At 41.5% G+C, this 22,592-nt stretch overlaps 1 long non-coding RNA gene across 1 annotated transcript in view, besides 1 other annotated feature; it reads right to left on the minus strand.

Annotated features, from left to right (window-relative positions):
* Positions 1-5,231: 5,231 nt before the first annotated feature.
* Positions 5,232-22,592, minus strand: part of LOC105378415 (uncharacterized) — a 31,664-nt gene continuing 14,303 nt past the window's right edge. Inside the window, exons 2-6 of the long non-coding RNA XR_007062225.1 lie at positions 22,092-22,244; positions 17,751-17,780; positions 15,284-15,342; positions 11,886-13,039; positions 5,232-5,693 (exon numbers count right to left, since the gene is read on the minus strand). This is a non-coding gene — a long non-coding RNA (uncharacterized LOC105378415). The remainder of the gene's footprint in view (positions 5,694-11,885; positions 13,040-15,283; positions 15,343-17,750; positions 17,781-22,091; positions 22,245-22,592) is intronic.
* Positions 12,714-13,008: an enhancer, noted in NCBI's record as "tiled region #10781; HepG2 Activating DNase matched - State 8:EnhW". NCBI's record gives its function as "activates a minimal TATA promoter and a strong SV40 promoter by Sharpr-MPRA in HepG2 cells {active_cell/tissue: HepG2}" and the evidence as "EXISTENCE:reporter gene assay evidence [ECO:0000049][PMID:27701403]".

Here is a 22,592-nt window from a genome sequence, read left to right on the forward strand (position 1 = left end):
TTTATCAAGCATCTACTTGCATGTCCTTCATGAAAAGCCCTGATAGAGCTTATATTCCAATGGAGGAAAGAAAGTAAACAAAACAGTTAAATATGCAGCATGTGAGAAGATGAAATTACTATGGCGGAAATTAAAGTGAAGGGAGGATGGGGAATGTTTGGCTGGCAGGTATTGCAATTTTCATAGGGTTGTTAGGGAAGGCCTCAGGAAGAAGGTAATAGCCGAATGAAGATCTAAAGGAGTTGAGGGAGCAAGCTATGTGGATATGGGGGAAGAGGGCTCTAAGCAGAGAAAACAGCAAGTGCAAATGTCCTGAGGCTGGAAGCTGCCTGGTGTGCCTCAGGAACAGCAAGGTGGCCAGTATGGCTGGAGCACCATCAGGAAGGGGGAGAGAGGAAGGACCTATAGTCAGAGGAAATGGGGTCATATTGTGTCATGAGAATCCTGAGAACAGAGGAAGTCCATGAGGTTGTTCTGTGAGTGAGACAGGGAGCCTCTGGAAGGTTTTAGCAAAGAAGGGTTGTGATCTGACAAAGTAATGTTGAATTAGTTATTTTTGCAGAAGCACTGATGCCTCCTGCTGACACTGACTTGTGCATGAGAAGCAAGAGATAATGAATTTGAGATTTGATTGAGCCTCCTGACCCTCTGTGGGTACCACTCCCATTTAAGTGGAGGCCAGGAAGGCTCGGAGAGTTTTAGTGACTTCCTCATGCCATTAGCCATACAAGTAGTAAGTGGATGAGGTAGGTAAGGTAAGCGACATAGTTTAAGAATGCCTTATGGCTGTGCTCCTTCTAGAGGCTCAAGGAGAGAGCCCGTGTCCTTGCCTTGTATTGTGTTCAGAGGCTACCCACATTTCTTGGCTGTGGTCCTCTTCCTTCATCTCTAAAGCTAGCGGTATCACATCCCTATGACCCTTCTTCCTTTGTCAAGTCTCTTTCTCTGACCTTAGCTGGAAAACATTCTCCACTTTTAAGGGTTCATATGATTAAGCTGGGCCCACCCAGATAATCCAGAGTAATTTTCTCTTCTCAGAGCTTGTAACTTTAATCACACCTACAAGGTTGCTTTACAATGTCAGGTAACATATTCACAGGTTCTGGAGATTAGGGCATGGGCATTTTTGAAGGACTGCTATTTTGCCTAGAGCACCATAATTATTAAACACTTTCCATGTTTTATTACATTTAAATATGATGACAGCTACAACAGGCAGGCAAGAATGTTATTCCATTCTTTTCCCCAAGGTTAAATGGTTAGTGCATGTCAAGGAAATTTGGAAAAGCCTGTGATAATTAAGGGCAAGTCAGCTTATTAACAACAGGACTCAATGCCTTAAATTAACTAACACATTGTGAGTCTACAGAAAGTGTGGTTGTGGGAGGGGGTAGGAAATGGAGAGGGTAGATATTAGAATATAGCACTTGATCTTGGGTCCTTTGGCATCTTTAAATAGAAATTTGAGAGCTTAGTGGTCTGTGAACACACTGTAAAAATGCTACCCTAGACTATAAGCCATCCACAGGGCAGGAATTATCATTTGTTCCTCTTTATACCTTTGGGTTCTGGCAGAGTGCCTGGCTTATTAGTGATGCTGAATAAATATTTTATTCCTGAACTGAATTTCCTTCATTCCTCATGCCCTACATTTCGAGCTTTGAAGCACTTTCAACACTTTGTTCTATTTCTAACCAATTGTATATTTTATTGTGCATCATTCATGTGCCTTGGGTGGTGGGGATACCCAGACTTGTAGGATAATTCCCTACATTTTTCTAGTACTTGTCACTTTCAAAGTGTATTTACTTGTATAACTTTAAAATTAACTCTGCAAGACAGGTATTATTTGCTAATTTTATGGATAAGGAAATGGGGTAAGAGAAGTTTTCGGCTCATCTGATATTATCCAGCTGCTTCTGCGGTGGTATCTTAGCTGAACACTAGAAATTCTCATTTCATAGTTGCTAGTTTAGAATATGAGTTTCCTGTGGCTGCTCTAACACATTACCACAAATTCGAAGGTTTAAAACAACAGAAATTTCTTCTCTCACAGTTCTGGAGGCCAGAAGCCTGACATCAGTTTCACAGAGTCAAAATCAAGGTGTTGGCAGGATACTCTACAGTCCCTCTGGAGACTTTAGGTGAGAATCCATTCTTTGCTTTTTCCTGGTGGCTGCTGGCATTCCTTTGCTTGTGGCTGTGCCATTTGAAGGCCAATATCTTCAAGTGTCTCGATGCTATGTCTTCACATAGCCTTCTCCTATGGGTGTCTCCTCCACTCTGTGTCAAATATCCATGTAAAAAGGTTGCCTGTGATGGCATTTACAGCCTACCTGAATAACTCAGGACAATCTTCCCAACTCAAGATCCTTATCTTAAAACAACCCTTTTTCCAAGTAAGATAATACTCACAAGTTCTAAGGATTAGGACCAGATTCTTTTGGGGACCATTTTTCAGGCTTCCACAATACTTAATGTTCTCCCACCACCAAAGAAAATCTGTCTCTTTTATTTTCTTTATTTTGATGGTTATGAACGTAATTCAAGTTTCTTATCAAAAAGTGTCTTACTGAAAAACTCATAATTTAATATAGAAATGATTAATAATTAACCCTTGACATTTGGTATACTTCGTTTTGCTTTTTGCTGTGCCTAAATTTGCATGTGTGAATAAAATAAGGGTTATCCTCTGGGTCTTGTGTCGTTTTCACTTCCCCCGGTCGTTTTTCCTGACCACACGTTCTTCTCTTGAGGCAGGCATGGGCCCCTAAGGGATTTACATCACGCCACTTACAAGTGTTTGTTTGACTCTACAGTTTCAGCACACATGAGTCAGAGGAACAGGAGAGCTCTAGTTATCTAGTTATCCTTGGACGTTCCCTATCCATCTCCCTGCTTTTAATCAAGTCACAAGTCCTAAAGATTCCCTCTGCAAAGTCATCATTTGGCTACCCTAAATTCACACTTCTATTATGCTTCTCCTAGGGAATAACAAGAACCAGAGCTGGGGTGACAGTAACCCGTACTTCACCCATTTCCAGGGTTACTTCCCTCCAGCGCATCTCCAGTCCTGTTTTCAGCTCTCCATTGCCTGCCCCCTCCCCTGCCATTTGCATTAAATTAAGTGGAAAATTCTCAGTCCACTATTTAAGGCTAGTTATGTTATAACCCCACCTAATCATCTAACTGACTTGCATTCTATATCCCAGCTAAATAGACAGCAGGGACTTTCTGCCCTCATATAACTTCCTGGTCTCTGTACCATTGCTCAAGCATTTCTCCTTCTCTGGAATGCCTCCCATCCCTCTCCCCACTTTTTTGGTTGTTGAAATTCTACCGTCTTTCCTGGCTTATCTCAGATGCCATCTCAAATCTCCATGAAGTCTTTCTTGACCTTACCCGGCAGGCGTGACTTATCATTGAGCCTCTTCTATGGGACTTTGTACCTCCACTTTGGGGCTTATCCCATTTTACAGTTATTTGTGTGTTTGTCTTCTCTTTCCTACTAAATTATACTCTCTTTAGGCCAGGGACTAGGTCTCACTCTTTGTGAAGTTCTCCATGGAATGTTAGTGCCTTCTGAAGTTCCCAGAGCACACTTAGTGTCTTCTGAATGCTGGCCAAGTTGTCGGCAAGAGCATATGCAGTCAGGGCAGTGCTTTGCTTAATATGTCATTGCTGGGGTGAGTGAGAGAGCAAGTGCTCACTGAGGGGTAATTAGAACCCCTTGTATTTCTATGGACCACACTGATTTTTATTTCCACGTGCATTATCTTGGTGATTCACAAACACCAGTGAAGCCATCTCACTACCTTTGCTGTTTCTTTGTACCACCTCCACTATTATTTTGTTAGCATATATTTTTTGAATTGATCCACCTTGCCTATAACAAGCCTTGTCTTAAGCTATAAAAATCCTTGAAAATACTGGGTTTGATGTGATACCTACGCACATTAAATAATTACAAAACAATTAAGCATCTTCACCACATAATAGTATAAGGACTACACTTTGGAAAACCCTGCCTGAGACAGTGGTGGGACTTAAACAAGGTCACAGAGCCATTCTCATTCCACTGGCATATATCCTCAAAATACAAGGCCTAGAAATAGAACATATAGAGTCTGTGATACTGCATGCTCCATCAGGACAGAGGCCAAGACTGTTTTGCTCACCATCCTATGGCAGGCCCTCTATAATTATTTCTTGAATCAGTGTAGAACTTGGACATGCAGACACACATGCACACGTGAACTTGCACACGCACATGGAAAGTCAAAGTTAGTGGCTTTTCAATGTTTTGATTCACTATTGACTTTCCTCATCATGTTTTCCTCAGACCTTAATTTAATGGAGTGATATTTGTTTTCCATTCCCCCCAGCCTTTGGCTTCACCTGTGAAACTTAGCAAGCTGCTGCTGCAGTTGCTGTGCTGGGACCGGCCAGCCAATCCCTGGCTTGTTGCTTCCTCTGCCACCTCCTTTGGGGCAGTTCCCTTGCCCCTCTGTCCACTCACATCTGCCACACAGCTGTGAAGCACTTCCCAATACGCAGTGCACGAGAAATGCTTCGTAATTCCACCCAGGCCTTTTGATACTTGCTATGGTCAGTCACAAGAGCATCTGTCTCTGTGAATCTCTGAAGTGTCCTCACAGAAGAAAACAATTGCTCTGAAGAGATATTACAGACAGGAAATGCAGCATGGCAGTGTCACTTCAGGGTGACAGAGCTGCTCCAAGTTCCCTTTCTCCTCTACTGAATTGTTTAAGCACTTTGTTCATGTTAGACCCAGACTGGGACAAAGATGGATGCTTATACGTTGGGGATAGATTTTAACAGAATTTCTTCAGTGGAGTGCTCTGCTTCCTTGTTCTTCAGGAATGTGACAGATTGTGGGGAGAGATTGCCTGGTGTGAAAAGTGAGGGTTACCTGCAACTCCTTTTGCTTTCCCACCTCAGACCCCAGTGGAGCAAGGGAATGGGGAAGGGAGGCATGATGGGAGACCACAGGTTCTAAGACAGGTTGAGCATCCCCCGTCTGGAAAACGAAAGTCTGAAGTGCTCCAAAATCCGAAAATTTTTGAGCACTAACATGACACCACAAATGGAAAATTCTGCACCTGACCTCATATGATGGGTTGCATGCAAGATGTCTTACAGTCAAGACATAGTCACAACTTTGTTTCACGCACAAAATTATTTAAAATATTGTATAAAATTATCTTCAGTCTATGTGTACAAGGTGTATATACAACAAAATAATTTTGTATTTAGACTTGGGTCCCATCTCCAAGATATCTCATTATGTATATGCAAATATTCCCAAATCCAAAAATCTCCTGGTTCCAAGGATTTCGGATAAGGGATACTCAACCTCTAGAAGCAGCATTCATCAGCTCCAGGGTCAAAAAGAGTGGAGTTCAAATCTCAGCTCAGCTGATGTTAGCCTGTATGTTTCTTGCTTCAGTTTTATCACCTGTAGAAGGGGAAATGATTCCTGTTTCCCGACATTGCTGACAATGAGGATATATTGGAGGGAAACCATCTTATCACAAAGTATGGCACATAGTGGGTACTGAGAAATGTGAATTCCTTTCTCCTTGCTGCTAAATATTCCTGCATCATTTGGATCAACTTATTCTGGCATCCCGCTCTCCATTAATGTTTATGATGTCTTCCAATGCCGTGAGCTACAAAGACAAAACAGACACAGATGAAGCGACTTGAAATTTTTATAAGGTTGAGTCCAAATGTGCTTCTAGTAGAGCTCAAATTCGGTTGTGATGTTTACAAGAGGTTTCCAAGCACTGGGTAGGAGGCTGCACATAAAGGTCTTTAGCCTGCCTCTCCATTTAGAGATTCCGTAATTGGTACTCTTTGATCTCACATCATACGGAAGGTATCCATATAATTTGTTGTCCAAACTTGGAAACTTTTGAGAGCAAAAGGGGTTGCTATTAAAATCACACCTAGACCACATGTGTAAATTAGGACGCTCAGGTTAATAGAGTGTATTTTGATCCTGATTAGGGTGCACAACTTTGGCCCGAGCTCAGTGCAAGTTATACAAGTTCATTTACCCAGCTTTCATGTATTTTAAGTCATGCCAGTTCTTCTTTTCCTCTTTAGCCAATGACACTTGTTATCTAGGCAGGGACTTTGGGAAGGAAGGTTAACAATGTATGGCACATGATATAGGTAAATAACACACCAGATGTACATAAAGAGACATATGAAAGCCAGAGGGTGAGCCAGTCCAGGATCCAGATAGTCCTGCAGCTCCCCGCAGTGCCCCCCACCTTCCCCTTGTAGCCACCGTGACAATCAGCTGCCGAGGGAAGTGTCGTCTGGGGAAAGGCCAACCAGATGCTGCTCCCAGAAAATCCAGGCCAAATTTGACATCTGTTTGTGGTCTCAATGGTTGGCTCTAATGTTCCAAATTCATGAGGATGAAAATTAAAGGGAGAACTTTCATCACTGCAGTCCTCAGGTACCAAGTGAGCCTCTCAAATGTCTCTGGGGACCAAGATGCTGCAGCAGGTAGCTTAAACTTTACAATGAGTGCTGCCTAAATGGGGACAGGGATGTGGGAGGCAGGCCCAAAAGCGCAGACTGTGAGCTTGAAGGGGCCCTTAGGGATGTTTTGAGGCAAAGAGGAAGAAGATATGGGATTACAATGAGTAGATTTGGATTTTCCTGTCTGTTAGAGAGGAACCTTGGTGTTCTCACCTGGAAATTGGGGATAACCAATTTCCACCAATGTTCACTGTCCAGAGTCACTGGAAAGGTAAAATGAGATAATGAACAGGAAGGAGCTTACAAACCACAAATTCCTATATAAATGCCAGATGTCATCATTATTGGAGATCCTCAATTAAAACCCCTGAATTCACAGATAAAAACCTGAGGTTCAAGGAAGTCAAGATTCTGGCTCAGTGTCAACAAATCCATCAATAAGAAGGGATGTCAATGGCATATTTGTGATGAGGGAGGGGGACAAGTTCCTTCACAGGGAGGGATGTCCACGATGTGTGTGTGATGGGGGAGGGAGGACAGGTTCTTTCATAGTGGGGGACTGTTCATGGCATCTGTGTGATGGGGGAAGGAAAGTCCCTTCATGAACTGGGAAACAGTCCACGGCATATGTGTGATGGGGAGGGGGAAAAGTCTCTCTATGGAGGGGGATGCCCATGACATATGTTTGATGGGGGAGGGGGACAAGTGCTTTCATAGGAGGGGGACTGCCTCTGGCATGTGTGTGATGGGGAGGGGGACAAGTCCCTTCATGGGGGGATGTTCATGGCATGTGTGTGATGGGGAAGAGTTGACTGAGAAGGTAAAATTGAACTAAAACAGAAAACCAGGGACAAATCAAGAAGGCAAAAAATATTTTCAAGGAATGTAATTTAAATTTGTGCTAGATGAGATGAGAAAAATGATGCCATGGTTATTTTTTTAGGCAGCAGGAGCCTTCACATCTTTTAATTCCTCATCATCATGGACACTGACTAGAGTTGATTTCATCTGGACCTTTTCATCATGAGGCTTTGAGGCTATAGCCGATTATACTGGTAATCCAGCTGTGTCATCTCTGATTAAAAAGGCTCCTTGGGCTTGCCTGTCCTGCTCTTACACTAACGCATGCAACGGGGGCCTGGCCAGGTTGCAAAAGGATATGAGGGCCAGAGAAGATCTATCTTTAAGTAGGAGACGGTTGAGGCAGCTTAACAGAGCAACTAAGAGCACAGACCCTGGAGCCAGACTGGCTGGGGAAGAATCCCAGTGTTGCCGCTGACCAGCTTTGCCACCTTCAGCAAGTTACCTAACCTTTCTGTGCCTTGGTTTTCTCATCAGTAGAGTAAGAATATAATCAGTCTTCACATGATGTGAGGCTGAAACAAGTTAATACATTTTAAATGCTTAGAAAGGTACCTGGCAAACATTCAGCTCTATTTATTGTTTGTTATTTTATTAAAAATAAAATGAATGTTATCGATGGACATGGGTGAGAAGCAGTGAGGAGTAGAAAGAACATAAGCTTGGCCATCAGACAGACTTGCATTTGAATCCTGATTCCACAACCTTTTAAAATCAACATTTATATTTTTCTAATTATAAAAGGCATATGTATTTATAGCAGAAAATTTAGAAAATACAGGAAGTAAAGACCAACCCTAAATGTACCACAGGCAGATGGCCACCATATTTCGTGTTGTTGGCAATGATATTTGCACTGGAGCCTTGCTCTGATGCTAGTGGCTTCTTGGTTTTTATTATTCCTCCTCTCTTTGTATATCCCTCAGAGAGATATCTAGGAATCATTTCAGGGCGAGGCACTGTGAATGCTCAGTAAAGAAAATATTTTTTGACAATGAGAAGACCTTTGATATGTAACTCAGAGCCTTTAATCCACACTCTTTTTATAGTTTGTTCCTGACATTTAGGAGCTAGGGTTTCTGGTGATAAAGCATGCCAAACATTTAGATTGAAACTTATAAATTCCTTCTTCCAACTTCCCTGCTGTAATTACTTAGCTGCCCACATTATTGTTGTCAATTGCCAAGGGTGGCTGGTGAGTGAGAGGTAGGTTATTTGTACCTGGTGTGGGTCACACTCCCACTTGGTCTGAGTGTTTTGTTTAATGCTCCACAAGAAGGCCATCGATGGGTAACAGAGTAGAAGTAATAGGAGAAGTCTACTGGGTGATGATTTGGCAGCTCAAGGAAAGTTGTAAATTAGGCTCTCAGAAGGGAACTTTCTGGCAAACTCAGTGAACAAACACAAGGTATGCGCTGGCCAGAACTTGTAATAAGCTGACTTTCTCTTTCACTGGTGGTTTCCTCTTGTTGGTTTTTTGGTGAAGTGGTTAGACGTGTTAACTATTGCCCAAACAGAATATGGACTGTTCTGGGGTTGGGGATGCAGGGGTGGCCAACAGTGGGGAAGAGGAAGGGTGTAAATGTATGGATCCACAAGTCCGAGCAGTCTTCTATGATATTGGAGAAGGGTTGACAGTGTAACCAAATCTATGCCTGGTCACTATCCGTGAGCAACGGCGCACGGACTAAGTGCTCCCAATAACCCTTCTCTCTGCTTTCAACTTCAGGGGTGCAGAGGGCCTATAATGTAAAATCATGACACTGATAGAAACCTTAAGGAGGTTTCTCTCATTTCTCCCATTTAGTAAGCAAACTAGACCTTGTCATATATGGCGAATCCAATTGTGTAAGTTAATTTTCTTATCTTTAGTCATTGTAACAGCAACCTACACTAGTGGTGAAGCTAGAAATGGGTCTATCTTTCCCACCGAGGCCCATGTGAATATGGCCAAGTACCCACTTTAATTAGGGCAACCAAACATTTTAATTTGCCCAGGGCAGTCATAATTTATGCCTCTTGTTCTAAAGAATACATATCTATAAAACCCCCCTTTATTCTCAAAAATTTCCCAGTTAAAATAATAAATTATATGGGTCCCCCAACATGAACAAAATCAGGGAGGAGCCCTCCAACACACAGGCCAACTTTTCACACTGTCGCTTTGCTCAGAAAAAGTTCCATTGTCTCTAAAAGACTCTTAGCCCTGGGGTCATGGGCTGATTTCTTTTTTTTTTTTTTAATTTCTCTAGCAATATTGCTCCCCAACCAGGGACCACTGCCTTTTAGTGCATTGTTTTTCAAACTCTTTTCAGCAGCAGAATCTATTTTTTCAGATGAAAAGTTAGGCAGAGCTCCAATGTTTAAAGCAGATAAAGTAGAGCTTTTCCTGGTTGAAGTGGGGGCGGGAAGCTCAGATACCCACACATTTGGCCTCTCTTGTTCTTTCCTTCTGGTGTGGGTCCCTACTGAATTTTATGGTTTTGTGGAACATAGATTAAAATTTACCACCAGAGCATAACGCTACCATCAATTTAATGTGTTGCCAGTTTCTCGATGAAATAGTTTTGTTCCTTAGTAAAGTCAGGTTAGCAATACCGCATTTATTTTACCTTGGCATAAGTTAATAATGATCAGGCTCTTAAAAAATATTACCCCAGGTCTCACCCTCAATTCTAAGTTAGGCTACTCCATCGCCTTAATTCTTCCAACCAATGGAATCTTGACTACTTGTTTTGATGTCCTCTCCACGGAACATGTCTGAGGAATGACCATACCATGGCCTGTTTTACCAACCACAGGTCTCCTGGCCCCTGATCATGGTAATCCTCTGATCTCACTTGTTCCCTTTCTGGGCCCTTCTGCCCAATTCTAGCTTTATGGCTTCTCCTCTGTAACCTTATCGTTTGTCTAGGATTTGAAATGCTGTTCCAGCAGACTTATTTTTCTCCTCATCGTCTCAAATCTTGAGCAGGTCATCCTAGGTCCCCTCTTTTGTTGAATTCTCAGTCTATTTAAAAATTCTCTGTATTTTTAAAAATGCCTTCACAGAACCCATCATACATTAAAAACCCTCCCTCACTGAATCTCAGGAGTCCCTTCCAGCTTTGCCAGTTCCATTATTTTAGACAGCTTATCCAAATACAGTCTTTCATCAGAAACAGCCGCATACGTACTATTCCACACCTATATTTCAACCACAGTTGACTCACCAGCCTGAGGACCCCCGTCAATTCTCAATGATTCTGGGGATCAGGTTATTTTTCTTGGCACAAATCCAAAGCATTGAGGCTAGGATTCAATATTAAGCTGATCTCCCTAGGATGTCATTAAGAGGGTTTAGTTACTGAAACACCAAAGGATATTGTCATAACACAGCAATTTCATTCAAAATGGCCTCATGCCCCAGATCGTTGCAACTGCTGCATTATAAATCTCTAATGCCCTTGGGGTGGGGGTTGGGTGGAGTGGAGGCTCATCAGCAAAGGATGCCTTTGCATATTTGTTTATTTATTCAAAAATGTTTAAAATGAAGTATTTTCTTGACAGCTGATTTGAGGTACTAGTAATTGCTTCTAGATATATAGAAATATCCAAAGGTTTTCTTCAACTTTTTCTTATTTGAGATATTTGTGAAAAAGTCATTTATACCTTGAATGATATACATTCATATATATTGCACATTACATATAGAAAAGTTGGTCTGGATTTTTTTAAAAAGGATTTTTTTTCTGTATTTAATAAGCTCTTGTCATGCAATTCCTCAAACTTACATACTCTTATAAGGGGGAAGAATCAAAAAATAATTTCAACTTAAATCAGAGGATAGGGTCTCTCAACCTTGGCAATATTGACATTTTGGGCCAGATTTTTTCTTTGTTGTTGGGTACTGTCCTGTGCATTGTAGGGTTTAGCAGCATCCTTGACTTCTACCCAGTAGATACCAATAATATGCTCTCTCCGACCCAGCTGTGACAATCAAAAATGTTTCTGGATATTATCAATATGCTTTGGGGTGCTAAACTGATCTGGTTGAGGACCACTACCATAGAAAGCGGAATGATGCAAGAGGAAGAATTGTACATAGAACAGTCTATGGCATGATAGCAACTTCAACTCCAGCCCCATCCATCAGGGGTGATGGGGATCAAGAGTTGGCTTGCTTGCAGAATGAGGCAACATGGAACTATGAGAGATTTTCTTCCAACAGACGCTGGTATTTCTATTAAGTTTCTCCTTTTACAATTTTTTAAAGCACCTTTTGCCTTTGGAAGTAACCTCATGTAGAAAGCATGCAGAGTTCTAAAATGCTAAGTAACTGATATATATATATATATATATATATAAAATATATATTTATATATATTATGTATCTTTTTATATTGTATATATAAATATATATATATATTTAGGTAAAGCCAACAATTCAGGGATGTACTTATATCAGTTAGTTTTTGCTTCTAAGCAAACCAGTCCAAATCTCAGTGGCTAAAAAAGACACTTACTGCTCATGCATCAGGTTGGCTGGGGTTCCACACATCCAGGTTGGACTTGACTGGGCAGCTCTGCTTCCCAGTGTAGGTCTCTGGGTCAAGTGGGGCTGCAGCAGCTGGATGAGCTCTGCTTCATGTCTCCCTCCTTGTCCTGGGACCAGTGGGCTACTTGGGGGATGTTTGGCTCATGGTGATGGCAGAGGTATAAGAGGATAAGCAGAAACACATAAGACTTCTTGAGACCTAGGCTCAGAACTAGGATACCACCACTACTGCCTCATTTCATTGGCCAAAGCAAATCGCATGGCTGCCCCTTTAGTGGGGAGAGCTGCAAAGTCATATGGCAAAAGGCATATGGATACAGTGGGTGGGTGGTGGGGACGTGTGTGTCAGGGGAAAAGAACCATGGTCAATGACACGATCTATCACAGCTCTTACGTTTAGAGTAATAATTTTGCTTTTATATAATTTCAGAACTGCACTCCTTATTTTTTTTCTGGACACCTCTGTAATGAGAGAATATAATCACAGGACCGTTTTAAGAATGGAATCATCTGGTAGGGAAGAGTGAGCCAAACAAACTCTCAGAAATTTTATTTTAACTCCAGTTAGCTCAGTCTTGTATGAATTAAGCAGCATTATATTTCTGTGGTTTTTAGAAAATGGAAAAAGCTGGATTTGTCCAACACAGGGGCAGAGAAGAAATGCATTTTCAAAGATGTTTGTGAGATTAAAATGCAAAAACACCTATTTTTAAGGATTGGCAGATTGCAGATGTGTTGGCCAGAGGAATGTTGAGTGAAAATCTCTGGAATGTTTTAGCAACCTTTAAAATTTATTACCAGGAAATGTGTGCTGCTTGCCTTCTCTGCATCTTTTCAAAAGGTCTCTTGTAAATCCAGTCAAGCCTAGTCCAGGTAGGGAGGTTTGGAAACAGTGATAAGTAAAAGGCATTCTCTGCTGCTGTGCCTCAGCTCCAGCCTGACCAAACACCGTTAATATGTAACCCGAATCTGACCACTTCTTTTATGTTTACATTTGGTTTCAGTGTTATTTTTAACTGGTGAAAGAGCAGTTCAAAGTCATTTTTTTTTTCTTGGCACTTACCATAATCTCTCAAGGCTCAGTAGCAGAATGGCAATAAGTCACGTCAGGGGTCTTTAAACCTGGTGGAATTAAAAATCACTTACCTTATTACACATGTGAATGTGCTGAAGATGGATGGGTCAGGGTTTTCAAGGATAAGACATTATATCAGAAATCATGTTTAATTGTTTTTACTGAGACCTTAGATTTTGAGGATGGTCTACACATTTGGCACAATTCATCCAAAATGGGGGTGTACTCCACATCTATCAGAAGAGCTCAGAAACAATGAAACCAGACCAAACCAAAATGCTGAGCATGTAAGTACTGGAGAGGATACAGAGCAATGGGAACTTTCAAATATTGCTGTTAGAAATGTCAAATGGTTCAGCCACTTTGGAAAAGAGTTTTATAGTTTCTTAGTAAAATGTATGCTTACCATAAGACCCAGAATCTCACTCCTAGGTAGTAACCCCAAATAAATTAAAACTGTGTTCACACACAAACTTCTACATGGAAGTTGATTATGGCTTTAATTGGTGAATGGATAAACAAACTGTGGTGCATCTATACAGTGGAAAATTACTTAGCAATACATAGGAATGAACTACTGATACATGAAATTACATGGTTAAAGCTCAAAGGCATTATGCTGAGTAAAATAAGCCAGACTCAAAAGGCTATAAACTGTGTGATTCCATGTATATGACATTTTGAAAAAAAGCAAGCCTATAGAAAAAGAGAATATATTAGTGATTGCCAGAGGTTAGGGTCAGGGGCTAGCTATAAAGGGGCATACAAGAAATTTGGGGGGTGATGGAATTATTCTGTATCTTAATTGTGGGAGTGGTTACTTGACTGCATATGTATATCAAAACTCACAGAACTGCACACTAACAAGGGTGAATTTATCCTAAAATAAGCCTAATTTGTAAAAACTTGTGGTCCCCCAGAATCTCCTGTTTTTATATTTATCAATATAACATATATATTTGTATGGCCACCAACTCATGCCTGCTTCTTTGGAAATGGTTTCCTGCCCACAGTCCCTGCTGAAAGAATGGGCATAGACTATGCTTCTTCTAGCTGATTCCATATCCAGACCCCACTCGATGGGACCATGGGTAGACATCTACCCTGAACTGAAACAGTAAGATGCTCTCTGTTGAGAGTTTAAGAGACATTGAAATCCAGCCCAGAGGGTGTAGATTTTGGCCTGCAGGTATGTTTTGTTTGGCACAGTGTTTAAAGAAAATTAGTTGCCAGCATAAAAAAGTGGGAGATTTCACATAGAAATCCAGATTTCCGGCTTCTCTTGAAGAAATGGGAGGATCCGGTAAAATGGTCCCAAATTCCTGCATGAAGACAATGGCTGGAGCTGAGATCCATTGCCCCCTTCACACCAGTATGCACTCTCCATCTGCACAGCTCCTGCCACTCCCTGTGTGAAGCCCAGGGGTGGCTGTGCTGGTGCTATTAGTGGGCTTTTATAGTTATAGGAAATAGAAAATCTTTCTTATATTTTTTTCTGTATCAAAACTGGGAAAACTGAAGATAGGCCATATTTTATGAAAAATGGGAATAAGCATATGACTTTGTGAAAGTAATGACTCTTCTAGTGGCTTATAAGAAACAAACTAAATGTGTCTGCTGAAAGAATATACACTGATTCCTTTCTGAAACAAATGTAGCTTTCTGCACTCATCCATGCTGCCTTCCTGGTCTCTGTAGGGATTTGAGTTTGCCCTGCTCTCCCAGTCAAAAGGTTTCTGAGTAAAAGAGTGCTAAGGTTGCATAAAGTTGAAGATAAATAGGCACCATGACGAGCTATATCCACATGCAAGCTTGTGTCACTGGGGAGGAGAAATTGAGAGCCTTACAAAGAAGCAAGTCTATAGAGATTGAAAAATAAAGTGTGTGTGTGTGTGTGTGTGTGTGAGAGAGAGAGAGAGAGAGAGAAATTGAGAAGCATACAGCTGTTCAAAGGAGAGTATAAGTGAATTTTCTTTAATCACTTATAGAAGGAGGTGGGATTATAACCGAAGTCCTCCGATCAGTGCTTCTCAAACTTTAACAGGCACACATATCCTGGGGAGCTTGTGAAAATGGCCATTCTCATCCAGCACATCTGGAGTGAGGTCTGAGATTCTGCATTTGTAATGAGATCCCAGGTGATGTCAATGCTGCTGACCACATTTTGAGCAGCAAGGCCCCAAATCATACAGTCTACAAAGAAATGGTAAAAATTTACCAGCCTCAGTTTTGCTTTTTAACCACCATCTCTCCATTGAAGGACTTGGTATAATCAGTTTACGGTCACTTACCAAAGAATATCACTCCCCCTGAACAAGGTGCTATTTACAGGTTAGTGGGTGCTGGCACTCTGGAAAGAAAGAATAATTTTGTGATTGCCTGGCTGGCACCTTAAGAGAAGCCATCTGGATTAGCAGCCCAGCTGAGGGACTGTGCACCCTCCCTGCTTAGTCTTGGCTGGTTTGCTCTGTGGCCTTAGGCAAATCACCATAGTCTCTGCTTTCTCACCACTCAAACGGAAGTTAAGTTTTTGACCTTGTAGGATATTGTGAAAGATTTAATTAGCATTTGTGAAATCTTGCAAGATCTATAGAGGAAAGGTACTTCAGAAGAACACAATAATTTATAGTCACTATCATCATTTCATTACCAGTTTAGCTGATCTGCCAGGCAAGTCAGTCTAAAGGAAGCTGTCTCTGTAATCTACAACTCCCTCATGGTTGAAAATACTGCAAGGAGGAACATTACAGCTATCTGTGGAAGAAGAGAAATTGTGCTTCTTTTTCACAATTCCTGATATTACTCAGGTGTCTACCACTTCAGGTTTTAATATAATAGTTTTTTTCTCATGTAATGAAGGAAGATTCTCTTTTTAATTGTCCCTTCCTTCCAAATATGGGCCACTGTGATATCTGTTTAAAACTTTGGGGCTCTGGTTTGAAAGAAATGTTTTCTCATCTCTCTTTCTCTAGAGAAGCTCTGTCCAATAGAAATGCAATATGACAACAAAAGCAATTTAAAAATTCCTAGTAGCCACATTAAAAAAAAAATCAGATAAAATTATTTTTTAGAATGTGCTTATTTAACCTCATATTTCTAAAATTTTTTAATGTGTATAAATATAAAAATTGTTGAGATATTTTGCCTTTTTCCGGTATTGCCTTTGAAATTTGGCATATCTTACACTTGCAGCACGTTTCAAATGGGATGCTAAATTTTCCTTAAGAAATAGTCCTGGCTGGGCACGGTGGCTCATGCCTGTAACCAGCACTTTGGGAGGCTGAGGAGGGCGGATCACGAGGTCAGGAGTCCAAGGTCAGCCTGGCCAAAATGACAAAACTCTGTCTCTATTAAAAATACGAAATATTAGCCAGGCATGGTAGTGCACACCGGTCATCCTAGCTACTAGGGAGGCTGAGGTATGGGAATCTCTTGAACTCAGGAGGCAGAGGTTGCAGAGAATCAAGATTGTGCCACTGCACTCCAGCCTTGACAACAGAGCGAGACTCTACCTCAAAAAAAAAAAAAAAAAAAAAAGAGAGAGAGAGAGAGAGAGAGAGAGAGAGATAGTTAATCCTGGTTTAAACTTCCTAAAGTTTACAACTGAAAAAGTAGATTCACATATCCATATTATTCTAAACATTTTTATTTTTTCCAACTGAATAGAGTATCAGGTTTTAAATTTAAATGTCAAGTATGAAATGAAATAACACTTAAAAATCAGTTCCTTGGTGGGGGTTGGGGGGTACTGGTCATATTTCAAAGGCTCACATGTGGCTAGTGGCTGTCCTATATTGGACAGGGCAAGGCTAGACTCTCAGTGAGGGCTGCCGAAGGCATGAGATTGCAGAAGGCCTATTCCTGCTCCACCAGTAGTAGTTTATGTGTGTCCTTTGTCAATGGCATTGCCTCAGAGCAGACAAACCCTGTCAATGTGGTGAGAAGGCCTTCCCTCTGTCAATGCACATTATTTGCCTTCTACTATTTATGGCATTGCTGGTTATCGCTCTTCTGTCTCTCAGAATGGCTCTGTTCTCCAAAGGGACCTTGCAAAGATCCAAGCTGGGTGCCACTAGCCTAAAACAGCATCTACCCAAAAACAGCATCTACCCGCTCATGACTCCACTTATTCTTTCAACAAATATTTATAAAGCAAGTTTCTATGCCCAGCCCTACTAAACTTCAGCAGCTGCTTCAGCTATGAGAAAGGATGACGAGGTCACTGCCCTTATGAAATTAATGCCTAGAAGTGGTAGACAATAAATGGAAAAAGACAAATAACAAATGAATAGCAATACAATATTGGTAAAGAAAAGTACAGGTCTCCTTGAGACCATATGATCAGGAATCCTGTTGGAGGCTCAGTCAGTCTTCCTTAAGAAAATGATATTTCCACTGGGTCCTGAAGGGATTGGGCAGTGAAGAGCTGGGAGAGGGGTCTAGTCTAGGAAGACAATATAACAAATTCAAAAAAGTGGCAGAAGGTAGGGTGACTAGAGTGTGATGGGCCAAGAAAAATGGGGAGATAAGTAAAGGCCAGTTCTGAAGGGCCTTGAAGGCCTCAAGAAAGACTTTAGTCTTTGTCCTAACAGACTGGAGGTCACCAAAGGCTTTTAAGAATAATTTGATCAGATTCAGATTCCCCTTTTAGGCTTTACAAGATGGCATGTGGCTGCAGATCTTCCTTGTGATTGCCACCCTAAATTCAAACTGGCTGACAATGACTGTGGAAGAAAAATGACACTTTCATTTCATTACCTGTTTACTGGAAACAGCCCCCAGAAATCTCTGAAAAAGAAATACAAAGGCAGTCTGATGGCACTGAAGGAGTGACATAACAAAGGAAAACAAAACAAAAAACACAATGAACAGACAAAACCCTGCACATTCCAGCTCAAATTTAAATTGAGTCTGCCAGGGTTAAGACTCATTATTATTGTATTATCAATGGTGGTACTAGTATTAATAATGATGACCATTGCTACTATTTATTGAGGGCCCATTGCTTGTTAGTTTTATATATATACATAAATATATATTAGTTTTAATCTACAGAAAGACCTGCCTGCATAATAGATATTATTCCTATTGAAGCGGCATCATTGTCTGGGGTAAATACCCAGGGTTCGTCATCTCACGCCAAGAAGATTAAGGACACGGACACACACGAGGAGTGAGTTTAGGAACAAAGGTTTAATAGGCAAAAGAAAGAGAAAGGAGAACAGCTCTCTCCCTTGCCAGAGAGAGGTGAGCTCCTGAAAGGAAAAAGCTGGCCTGTGGGGCACTGCGCTGGATTTTATAGGCAGGCTTGAGGAAGCAGTGTCTGATTTATGTAGGGCCCACAGATTGGCTCTACCAAGTATGAGGTTTACATAGGGAGGGAAAGGCTGGTTGCCCCATTCTAATCTTATTATGCAAATGGGGTCTTTGCCTGGCTGGTGCCATATTGTCTTCTCCTTACTGTACACATGGTTTGGCAAAGAGAAGGGAAGATGGAGCCGCCATTTTGAACATGCTTAGTCCCAGGTAGCCTTTTCCTATTGGCACTACTGCCGGCGTTCACCCGTGCAAGCTTCCAGCTTGCTTGTCTATGTCTGCAGCTCGATTTTACAGGCTGTTCTTTGTTAGAAAAGAAAATGATTTGGGGGCTGCTTTTCATTAAAAGGAAAACCTTATGGAGGACTCCCGTACCCTCACTGTCTGCCTAAGTAATTTCTTCTTAACTCCTATATCACTATTTCATTTGATATACTAGGAAAGGGAGTTACACAAATGTTAAACAACTTGTCCAGAGTTGAGTTGGTAGTTCTAGTGGAGTTAGTATTGGAACGTATGTCTGTTTGGCTTCCAAGCCCTGATGTGTCCACGTCATCATTTTCCCTCTGACAGTTAGAGGCCAGGTGAGTTCTGACTTGAGCATCTGAGAAACAATACGAACGTGTTCACACAGGAAAAACACGATTTACTTTTGTGGCAGAAGTCAAGGCTCGACAGCAGTGTTAGGATGTTCGATACCTACTGAGACTTTGGATAGACTCACCCTCAAATTGTTCTTTCCAACATGCATCTTTTCCAAATGTTGTGTATGTAGGTCAATTTTTCTCTTTCCCTCTTATGCTCTGTAAGTTTGGGCCTTTTCTTTTTCCCTCTTGCTTCTCTATAGGTCAAGTACTTTATCTGCTTTTGTTGACTAGAGCTGGGCTCCCTTTCTGTAGCTTGTGCAATAGCTCAGCAGTCTGTAACTGGACATGACCTCCTTCTCCTGCTAGGGTGGTACGTGTGGGCAGCTTGTGCTGATACACATTAGGCACATGTTCTGTTCTAAGGCACAACAGACACAGCTGACAGACAGCATGAAGGAATGGCCCTCAGCACAAGGAGCTGCTACGTGCATTTGGGCAACACCTTCCTGCCAAGCTTGCAGAATACTTGGGCATTTTAATCTATTAATCTCTAATACTATTCTCAGAGGAGGAAAGTGACTACCATATCCCCACAAAAGGAAACAAGCTTGATTTAATAGTTAAGGGTGTGTATAAAAAGGCTTGTTCAAACTTCATTTATCCCACAAAACATTATTGAGCATCTAATATGGTCTAGGAATGACTCTAGGTGCTAGGATACAGCCATAAGCTAAACTGATTAAAAACAATCAAGCAAGTCAGCCATCAAACAAACAAACAGAAAAAAAAAAAACCCTTTCCAAATGGAGCTTTTATTCTAGTAGGGGAAGGCAGACAATATACCAAATAAAACATAAAATACAGAGTGTGTTTGATTTTGGTAAAAAATAAAAGAAAAATGAGAGTGAACATTTAGGGCAATCAGAGAAAGCCTCATGAAAAGGATGGCATTTGGACAGAGACCTGAAGAAAGTAAGGAGAACAATGACGGGGCAATCTGAAGAGAGAGCATTCCAGGTGGAGGAAACAGTAAGTGCAAATGTCTTGAGGCAGGAGTGTGCCTTGAGTGTTCTGTAACGGAAAAGAGACCAGTGTGGCTGGGACTATCTGTAGCAGAAGATGGGGTTGGAGAGATTATGGAGGCTTACAGGGCCTCTCAGTCACTGTTAAGACCTTTGGCTTTTCCTCTGAATGACATGAGAAGCCACTGGAGGCTTCTTAGTGGAAAGTAGCATTTTTCAGGACCAGCAGTGTGGAAAACAGACAGTGCAAGCACAAGGATGGAAGCAGGCGGGACAGTCAGGAAGCCATTGCCATCATGCTTGTGAGTGATGGCAGAGCTTAGACAAGGTAAGAGCAGGGGAGATACTGAAGAGTGGCTGAATTCTGCATATATTTTGAGGAACAGCCAACAGGATTTGCTGATGGATTGGATAAAGTAAGTGGATTATTTGAAGTTATTTTTTTCTCCCTACCCAAAAGTTATTGTAGCTATTTTCAGGCATAGATAGAAAACTACCTAGATGGTTTATTAGCCTTGGTTGGATACTTTTTTTTCTTTTTTTGAGACGGAGTCTCACTCTGTTGCCCAGGCTGGAGTGCAATGGTGCAATCTCGGCTCACTGCAACTTCCGCCTCCCAGTTTCAAGTGATTCTCCTGCCTCAGTCTCCCAAGTAGCTGGGATTCCAGGCATGCACCACCACGCCTGGCTAATTTTTGTATTTTTAGTAGAGACAGGCTTTTGCCCTGTTGGCCAGGCTGGCCTCGAACTCCTGGACTCAAGTGATCCGCCCACCTCGGCCTCCCAAATTGCTGGGATCACAGGTGTGGGTCACTGCACCTGGCCGGTTAGACATTTCTTATATTCCTTTAGACAATGTTTTAATGTATATGATATAAGTAAACCAAACCTTCTTATAAAAATCATATACAAAATGAAAACTCCCATTTGCTATCTCATGCTTCTTTTCTAAAAAATAGGTAATCCCTATTATGTTTGATTTTTTTATGTGTGCATTTACGTGTTTGAAAATTTATAGTTTCATTCTTTCATGTTGATGGGATCATATTGTTCACATTAATTTTTGCTTAATATATCTTGAAGACCTTTCCAAACTAGTACATAAAGACCCATTTCATTCTTTTAGATTACTTAGAAAATCCTCTAGAAATGCAGCTGACTCATTTCACTCCTGTCTCCTAATCACTGTCTACATTGGAAATCAAAGACAAGCACCCACATGCCCTAGGCAGAGTCTCTACTTCCAGAAAACATCCACAAGATGACATTTTAGAGTTGAGGGAATGATCCCAGCACGCATAGCCAACCTATTTGAAATGTCTTTCTTGTTCTTGGAAGGGATCACAGGGGCCTTGAGTCATTTTAAACTGCTTCTGCTGCAGAAAACTCTTTGGGCATTTTGTGCCCCTGGTTTCCCAAATCTCACTCCCTGGCATGCTTGGCTTGAGAAAGGTAAAAAGCCCAGGGTGGCAGGCTGGTCTGGCATTAAATGGTAAGTGAATTTGCCAAATCAAAACGGAAGCATCTGGCTCGACAAGGATAAGTAATGCAAATGAATGAAAAGAGCATGTATCTATGCTTTTCCCTTGGTTATTAGATATTGCATTCATTGTTATTTGTTGTAACTGTATGAAATTACAGGAAAATTACAAAATACAGAAAAAAGTTAAATGATAATCACCAGAAAGCCCCTTTCCTGCGCTGCCGCCTGCCTCCCCTGGCACCGCCGCCTGCCGCCCCGGAAGACTATTTGGGTATTTACAAGAGAATTAGAAATTGAGATTGTGGCTTACCTATCCTACATGGTCACCATAGTAAAAGCTTCTAACTCTGCCTGCCTCTTCTGCCTCTGTGTATGAATGTGTCATGAGGCAGGTAGGAGGGAGCACAAACACATCCTATTGGAAAACCAACTCCAGGAGTGCGCTTTCCAACACTGGGGACTCTTCATATGGGACGCAATATTATAATGCTAGAGGAAGTTGTGTTAGTTGACCAGGGTTTCCAGCAGTTGGAACAATGCTCAAAATTCAGCATCTGCCCTTCCCCCTGCTATACTACCCCCTGTCCCCCACCGAGGCAACTAGAACACAATCATGCCTTCTTCTCATGTTTGTTCACCTGTTTTCAATTAATGGCAGGGACCTAGTCCCTTAGCTTAGTTGGATTGGTACCTGCAGGATAGGAGACACAGCCAGGTGGGTGGGAGGAGCTGGGTCACAAGACACATTGGAGCTCAGTTCTTCCCAGCACAGCTGGGCTGGGTGTTTGCCTTGGCACCCAGTGCCACTCCACTCAGCTCTGACATGATGGCTGGAAACACTGGCCTGGAATAAAGTGGGAAGCATTCATGCATATTGTGCCAACAGGGTGCTGCATCAGCTGTTCTAGCTACTGAGTGCTAGTCATCTAGCCTTTTGCCTTTGGTGCAAATAATTAGGCTTATTATGGGTATTGAGTTGTCAAAAAAAGGCTTCTGTTTTATGACCAGCAATATTTATTAAACATAAGAATAGTGCTACAATGTGGGGTCTTAAGAAGTTATTAGACAGAGTCCTTGCCCTCAAGAAAAGACTCATAATCCAGTGGCAGGGAGAGAATGTGAGAGAAATAGAGAAATAGTATTTTCAGGCAGCAAGTGGTGAGTGCTACATGAATAGAACAGAAGTTAAACA

The sequence above is a fragment of the Homo sapiens genome, chromosome 10 (assembly GCF_000001405.40).
Source record: "Homo sapiens chromosome 10, GRCh38.p14 Primary Assembly".
Taxonomy (NCBI): domain Eukaryota; kingdom Metazoa; phylum Chordata; class Mammalia; order Primates; family Hominidae; genus Homo; species Homo sapiens.